Raw genomic sequence first — 8,623 nt, 5'->3', positions numbered from 1 at the left:
GGAAGGGGCCTGGGAGCCCATCTCCAGCCCTCCTACCCCAGCCAGACCAGGATGGCGTGGGCCACGGGTTGGGGTCCTCACAGCCCTGGGAGTCCAGGAAGGGGCTCGGAGAAGCCTGGGGAGGAGGCTGCTTCCGCCTCGAGGGTTCTCACAAAGCCCCTGCCCTCCTGGCCTGCTGGGATGGGTGGGTGGGACCAGGTGGCCGTGCTCTCCGCCCTAAGCCTTGCACACACGGGCATGGAAGCCCTGAGCATGCCCTGGTCCCAGCAGCCCAGCCCCAAAGGGGACACAGGGAAGGGTCAGCCCCTGCACCCACCCTCTCCACAGGCCTGAAAATATTTATGAAGCCCCGTCGTAGAGGAAGAGAGGAGACTAGAGAGGGCCAGCAGCTTGCCCGCCTCTCACTGCACCAGCGCTTCCTGCGAGGCCCAACCCTGGGGAGCTCTGAGATCCCCCGTGTGCAGGGAGTCGGCACGTGGGGGCAACCTGGCTCCCTCCCTCCCCTGGGGCAGGGGTCCTCACTGGGTTGATCGCCTGACTGGGGGGTCCTCAGAGCTCAGTTGGGGCTGCTGACCCCTGCCCTCTGTGGGGGGACAGGCCTGGGGCCCCTGGTTCTGGACGGCCTCTCTGCCTGGGGCATGCCTCTCTGCCCGGGGCATGGGGCTGGAGGGTCAGGGTGAGGCGGGCTCTGGCTTCCTCCCTCCCGGGCTCCTCAGTGTGGCCGTGCAGGGCAGAGCCAGGGAAGGGAAGGGGAAGCCGGCCTCCGGGGTGAAGCCTGGATTATGGGGTGCCATGTGGGCAGCGCCTGTGAGTCCCCTTTGTCCAGGAGGAGGGGTGCTTTGGGGAAAGGCGTGTTTCCCCTGGGCCATGTGGCCAGATCTAGAGGCCCCTCACAAGCCTGAGATGGTCTAGATCCCAGGCTCCAGGAGGGGGCCGGGCCACAGGTGAGAGGGGCTTGAGTGACTTAAAATGAATTGAGTCCCCTTGGAGCTCCTGTCCTCACTCCTTTCCTGGCTCCCCAGGCCTGAGCCCCTTCTCCTATCTGCCAGACTGTCCCGGGCGCCTTGTTCCCCTAAGGAGCTGCGGGGTTGTGATTTCCACATGGGTCCCTCTGCAGGGGCTCGGCCATGGCCCAGGAGAGGCCAGGGACCCCATGAAGGCCTGAGATGCTTTCTCCAGGGCGGCCACAGCAGCCCGCTGCTACACTAGTCTCTGTCCCTGCAGAAGCTATGCAGGGAGGGGCTGCAAATTTGCTGACCTCAGGAATGTGGTGTTTCATTTCTGCGAGATGCTCCCTTTCTAGAAGGTTCCTCTCAAACTGGCAAGGGCTGACTTCTGAGGTCTCTGTCATTGGGACCAACACTTATGCTGGAGGGTGAGGTGGAAGGCAGGGGTGCAGGAGCAGCCTCGGGTTCCTGGATGAATCCGTTTTATTCTGCTTTATCCATTGTAGCCCTGGGGGCAGCTCTGGGCAGCCGGGAGCCATCAGTGCCCCTGGGCAGGGCCAGCGCCAGCGCCCCTGCAGGAAGTCCCCACTCCTGAGGCCCAGACTCCTTTCGTGTCCTCAGGGGCTCTCGGGTTCTGAGCTTGCCCTTCCTGTGTCCTGCATGCCTGCCTTATTCCCTTGGCTGGCACGTGAGCCCCTCCTCCGTCTGTGCTCCCGGGTGCAGCGCTGAGGCTCTAGGAGTCGGGGTGGAGCCCGACTGAGGGTCTGGAGAAAGAGGAGGAGGCTCAGGGACAGTGGCTGAGAGAGCCCCACAGTGGACTTCCTTCCACCAACAGGCACCCAGGGCTAGAGTGTGTGCTTCTGAGAACTCACAGGGCAAGCTGGGGGGACCACACGGAGGCCCAGCATTGGCGAGACGAGCGAACCGCCCAGCTGCCAAGAAAGCAAAGCATGAACTGCAGAGGGACACGGCACAGGGCTGGGGCGGGGAGCTGAAGCTGGGAAGAGCCCCGGCAGGAGAGCCTGGTGCAGAGATGACGTTTACCTGCACCCTGGAGTGGGACCAGCCATGACGGTCAGGCAGACTGCCAGTGCATCAAGGTGCCGGGGAGACGGACAAATGGGGTGGGGTGATGGAGGCTGGCTAAGAAACATTCTGGGCCGGGCGCGGTGGCTCACGCCTGTCATCTCAGCACCTTGGGAGGTTGAGGCGGGCGGATCACTTGAGGTCAGGGGTTCGAGACCAGCCTGGCCAACATGGCGAAACTCCCTCTCTACTAAAAATACAAACATTAGCCGGGCATGGTGGCCTGTGCCGGTAATCCCAGCTACTTGGGAGCCTGAGGCAGAATCGCTTGAACCCAGGAGGCAGAGGTTGCAGTGAGCCGAGATCGCACCACTGCACTTTAGCCTGGGCAACAGAGTCAGACTCCATCTCAGAAAAAAAAAAAGCAAAGTGGGGACGGAAGGGCTGGCCCAGGTGGCATAAGGGACCCACTTTTCCAGCACGCTGGATAGGGCACATCTGAGCCCCACTGCGCTGCTGGGGCACTTAGTATTTCTGAAGGCAAGAGTTTTGTTTCCTGACTTAGAATTCTCTGCAGATACTGCCTCAAGATGGTTCTTTCTCAGGACTATCCATCTGACAGTGAAGATCCTGGGCCCAAAATGAGGGAATGAGGGCCAGAGACCTAGGTTAAAAACCAGGATCTCAAAATGCACCCTCCAGATTTTAATTTATGTAGCCAAGGTGTGTAGTAGGCTATGCCATATAGGATTTTTGGTTTTTCTTTTTCTTTTTCTTTTTCTGAGGAGTTTCGTTCTTGTTGCCCAGGCTGTGAGTGCAGTGGCGTGATCTTGGCTCACTGCAACCTCTGCCTCCCAGGTTCAAGCGATTTTCTTGCCTCAGCCTCCCGAGTAGCTGGGATTACAGGCGCCCACCACCATGCCCAGCTAATTTTTGTATTTTTAGTAGAGACAGGGTTTGGCCATGTTGGTCATGCTGGTCTAGAACTCAAGACCTCAGGTGATCCACCCGCCTTGGCCTCCCAAAATGTTGTGATTACAGGGTGAGCCACTGCGTCTGGCCTTTTCTTTTTTCTCTGTAGAGACAGGGTCTTGCTCTGCCGCCCAGGCTGGAGTGCAGTGGTGCTATCGCAGCTCAGTGCAGCCTTGAAGTCCTGGGTTCAAGCAATCTTCCTGCCTCAGCTTTCTGAGAGTTGGGGCTACAGGCACGTGCTACCACGCCTGGCTAATTTTTTCTATTTGTTTCTTTTTGTAGAAATGGGGTCTCGCTCTGTTGCTCAGGCTGGTCTCAAACTCCTGGGCTCAAGTGATTCTCCTGCCTGAAGTCTCCCAAAGCGCTGGGATTGCAGGCGTGAGCCGCTGTGCCTGGCCATCTAAATTCATGCCAGTGAACTCTGTGATGTTTTCATGACACAAAGTCACCTCATGATGCATTTTTCAGACCATAACCTGTCGTTAAGTGAGGCACTTAATTGGAGGAGGGTGTGTGAGGCACTTAATTGGAGGAGGGTGTGTGAGGTGTGAGGCACTTAATTGGAGGAGGGTGCATGCTGGGCTGGGCTGCCCGGGGCCAGTGCAGGGAGCTCCAGGGCTGGTCAGGAGCAGACACGAGCCAGGCAAGCCAAGGTCAGAGCCTTTCCAGGGGTTTCCAGGGGAAAGGCAGGGCAGGGCGGGGAAATAGCTTGGGCCTGGTCAGTCTGAGTAATTCCGGTGGGCTCTGGGACCTCGGCTCTCCCTACTTGTTTGGTGCTTGGCCCTTGGTGACTGAGGGCAGGGGACATGAGCTTGTGGTGTGAGAGTTAGATAAGGAGGTGGTTCAGAGGCAGGTTCTGGAGGGCAGGGAAGATAGAAACAATGTAGCTGTTAGTTCGGCCCTGTGATTAATGGATGCCAAATGGACAAATGCCGCATCTGAGAAAACACACAACACCAGGCTTGTGTCCAAGGCTCTGTACCGGAAGCCATTCCCTCTGTAGCCCCGGCCCCTTGCCAAACCATGGACCGCAGCCCCCGTCCCGGGGACGCGTCTCAGATGTGAACTGTGCTCAGGTTCATTCTGGTCCCAGGGCTGGGCCCATGTTGGTAGGGGGCGGCCCCTCCCTGAGCAGGGCTGGTCCTGCCATACCCCATCCCACTGGTGGTCTCCCAGGGCGGGGGCAGGGAGTCCAGGGAAGACCGTGGGTGAGTTGGGGGCATGGCTTGTGCCGAGCACGCTGGCCTGGGTAAAAGAGGTTTGGTCAAAACCCTGGGTGGGTGAGGATGGATATGCCAGGCAGGGCCCACGGTGGTCCCTGGAGGCTGCCTGTCTGCTGGGGTTCACAGGCAGGGCTCCACCCTCTGGACCAGGGTGCCAAGCCCTGCATCTCCACCTGGGCTGGGGGTAGGTCTTGGCTCTCAGAGGACTCCGGCATGGCGGCCACTGGGGAAACAGGACAAAGAGCAGACCACCGAGGCCACGGAGACCCTCAGGTGCATGTGCCACCTGCAGACGATACCCTGCTCTGGAGCCCTGGGGCCTGGACGTTCAGCCCCACCTCTTTTTTTTTTTGAGACAGGGTCTCACTCTGTCGCCCAAGCTGGAGTGCAGTGGCGCGATCTCGGCTCACTGCAACCTCTGCTTCCTGGGTTCAAACGATTCTCCTGCCTCAGCCTCCCGAGTAGCTGAGATTACAGGCGCCCGCCACCATGTCTGGATAATTTTTGTATTTTCAGTAGAGACGGTGTTTCACCATGTTGTCCAGGCTGGTCTCGACCTCCTGACCTCAAGTGATCCGCCCACCTCGGCCTCCCAAAGTGTTGTGATTACAGGCGTGAGCGGGCCAGCCCCACCTCTTGAGGAACGATGAGACTCTTCTGATGCAGTCGCCAACAACGAGCGCTGCTGAGGCTTCCAGGGACATACAGGACAAGATCCTCCCTCTCAAAGCCAGGCTCTGGCTCGGAGGCAGAGGAATTCCTTTCATGCTGCCTAATCTCAGCCACATTGTGTATGGTTTTCACTGGAGAAGCCCCCGAAAACAGTCGGTCAACCAAAACAGTTAACACAAAACTATTGCCAGAAGGATGCCATACTCAAGTGTTCTGATGACGGGAGGCAAGCTCCACCGTGGGGCCGCAGAGAACAATTGTGGATCTTGTTCTCCTGGTCTCTGCTCCCAGCACTCCGTGAGCGGGCCCCGCGTGCAGGGGGATTGCTGGCCAGACCTGACAGCCTCACACGGTCAGATACTATCATCTTTTCTGTCTCCCACAAGGGAGGACGACGGCCTATCTGATGGAAAGCCAGTCTCCTGCTGAGGATGGATGCGCAGCTGTGCAGCAGGGGAGGGGACTCCTGTCAAGCATGCGGAGTTTTTGGGGAGAAGCATCTGGAGACTGGCCCCTGGTTTCACAGTCTGGACTCTGGTTGGGAAGGGGGGCAGCCCCCTTTTGTGGGAGTGATCAGAGGTTCTAGGGCGTCCATCACTGGCTGGCCCTGTTGGGGTGCACAGTTGGGGGACGCATGCAGGCCTGGGGAGAGCACGGCAAAGGGCCCAGAATTGCTGGCAAGCCTTGGACGAGCCAAAGGACGCATATTCAGGACTCCCCTGGTCTCGGGGAGGTCACTGCCTGACTCTCGGTGAGCTCAGAAAGAGCCCAGAATGGCCAGGTGTGGTGACTCACACCCGTAATCCCAGCACTTTGGGAGGCCAAGGTGGGTGGATCACTTGAGGTCAGGAGCTCGAGACCAGCCTGGCCAACATGGTGAAACTAAAAATACAAAATTTAGTTGGGCGTGGTGGTATGCACCAGTAATCCCAGCTACGTAGGAGGCTGAGGCACAAGAATCACCTGAATCTGGGAGACGGAGGTTGCAGCGAGCTGAGATTGTGCCACTGCACTCCAGTCTGGGCAACAGAGTGAGACTCTGTCTCAAAAAAAAAAAAAAAAAAACAGAAAAGAAAAAAAATTACTGGAAGCCCCAAAGAGCTTTTGTGTGTGAATTATATCCAAGGCTGGCTACATAAATAATCTTCAGGGCCTAGCACAAAATGAAAGAAAAAAAACTGCTGTGAAAGGTGCTAACAGAAAGCTTTGCCCTTTTTCCATGATCCCTTTTTCCTTCTCTCCTTCCTCTCTCAGCTTGTCATGGTGGTTCTGTTTGCTACTTAATGTCATTCTAAGTAAAGAAAAATAAACATTTAAAATATTAACAAACACTTTACAATTCATTTTTTTTTTGAGGCGGAGTCTTGCTCTGTCACCCACGCTGGAGTACAGTGGCGCGATCTTGGCTCACTGCAGACTCTGCCTCCCGGGTTCAAGCGATTCTCCTGCCTCAGCCTCCCAAGTAGATGGGATTACAGGCGCCTGCCACCACGCCAGGCTAATTTTTGTATTTTTTAGTAGAGACAGGGTTTCACCATCTTGGCCAGGCTGGTCTCGAATTCCTGACCTCATGATCCACCCTCCTCGGCCTCCCAAAGTGCTGGGATTACAGGCATGGGCTACCATGCCCAGCCTTTTTTTTTTTTTTTTTTTTTTGAGATGGAGTCTTGCTCTGTTGCCCAGGCTGGAGTGCAGTGGCGTGATGTTGGCTTACTGGCTCACTGCAGCCTCCACCTTCCGGGTTCACGCCATTCTCCTGCCTCGGCCTCCTGAGTGGCTGGGACTACAGGTGCGCACCACCGCATCCAGCTAATTTTTTGTATTTTTAGTAAAGATGGGGTTTCACCGTGTTAGCCAGGATGGTCTCGATCTGCTGACCTCAGGTGATCCACCCGCCTTGGCCTCCCAAAGTGCTGGGATTACAGGCGTGAGCCACCTCGCCTGGCCCATCCTTTTTTTGTTTTGTTTTTTTGAGACAGGGTTTCACTCTGTCACCTGGGCTGGAGTGCAGTGGCGCAAACTCAGCTCACTATGGCATTGGCCTCCTGGGCTCAAGCGATCCTCCTACGTCAGCCTCCTGAGTAGCTGGGACTACAGGCGCACGTCACCACGCCCAGCACCCTTTTTTTTTTTTTTTTTTTTGAGACGGACTCTCACTCTGTCGCCTAGGCTAGAGTGCAATGGCGTGATCTCAGCTCACTGCAACCTCTGCCTCCCCGGTTCAAGCGATTCTCTCGCCTCAGCCTCCCAGGTAGCTGGGATTATGGGAACCTGCCATCACGCCTGGCTAATTTTTGTATTTTTGTAGAGATGGGGTTTCACCATGTTGTTGGGCAGGCTGGTCTTGAACTCCTGACCTCAGGTGATCTGCCCACCTCAGCTTCCCAAAGTGCCAGGATTACAGGTGTGAGCCACTGCACCCCAGCCTGGCTACTTTTTAATTTTAATTTTTATAGAGATGGGGTCTCACTATGTTGCCCAGGCTGGTCTGGAACCCCTTGGTTTAAGTGATCCTCCTGCCTTGCCCTTCCAAAGGGCTGGATTTACAGGCGTGAGCCACTGTGCCTGGCCATTGGGTCTGAATTAACCCCGGGCTCCACGCCACAAGGCCACGGGTGACCTTGGCCTGTCTGTGGCTGGTTTGTGGGGTGAACAGGGGCTGGCTGCTGGGTCTGTGTGTGAACACAGGCTGTGGCTGCTCCCTGCAAAAGCTCAGGGTGTGGGGCTCCATGAGGCTCATCCTCTCCTCCCCAGCCACCCGCATGCTACATTTGACTTCCTTTTCTAAAGTGTTCACCTGTGCAAATATTTGTGGTCAGCCCAGCCTGCTGCTGCCATGTCCCTTCGGCCGCCTGGGGTTGCCGCCGGGGCTGCGTTCTGGAGAAGAGCATGTCTCTCAAACTCCGAGGTTTAATTCTTTTGCTCTCCGCAGGGACAGGCACCATCTATGTTCACCTGCACAGCACGCACACACAGGTTCTATTTACAAAGCGACTAAGAACAACACAGTGCAATCAGGAACACATCACAACTGTCAGGAATGGTTCACAGTCAGTCATGAGAGTGTGCGTTTGCCAGCCAGGAGCTTTCAGTGCACACGTGGGTTGCAGCCTCACCTGGTGCTTCCAGCCAGCAGCACAGCCGGCTGCTGCCCCGCCCGGTGTTCTGGTGCTCACTGGCCTCCAGGGCTCAGGCCCCCCCAAAATGGCAAAACAACCCTCCTGTGATTCCCTGAGATCCTCTTTGGACCAAAGGTGCTTTACCCTTTCTTTCCTTCGTTTTCTTTTTTTTGAAACAGGGTCTCACTCTATTGCCCAGGCTGGAGTGCAGTGGTGCGATCTCGGTTTACTTCAGCCTCTGCCTCCCAGGTTCAAGCAATCCTCCCACCTCAGCCTCCTGGGTAGCTGGGACCACAGGCTTGCGACACCATGCCTGACTAATTTTTACATTTTTGGTAGAGATAGGGTCTCACTGTGTTGCCCAGGCTAGCCTCAAACTCCTGGGCTCAAGCAGTTCACCTGCCTCAGGCTCCCAAACTGCTGGGATTACAGACATGAGCTACTGTGCCTGGCCTCTTTTTTTTTTTTCTTTTTTTGAGATGGAGTCTTGGTCTGTTGCTAGGCTGGAGTGCAGTGGCGCAATCTCAGCTGACTGCAACTTCCGCCCCCTGGATTCAAGCAATTCTCTGCCTCAGCCTCCCAAGTAGCTGGGATTACAGGCGCCTGCCACCACGCCGGATAATTTTTTTTTGTATTTTTAGTAGAGACAGGGTTTCATCATGTT

The sequence above is a fragment of the Homo sapiens genome, chromosome 16, assembly GCF_000001405.40.
Source record: "Homo sapiens chromosome 16, GRCh38.p14 Primary Assembly".
NCBI lineage: Eukaryota > Metazoa > Chordata > Mammalia > Primates > Hominidae > Homo > Homo sapiens.
The sequence above is the reverse complement of the archived record's forward strand: the minus strand, read 5'-3'. Positions refer to the sequence as shown.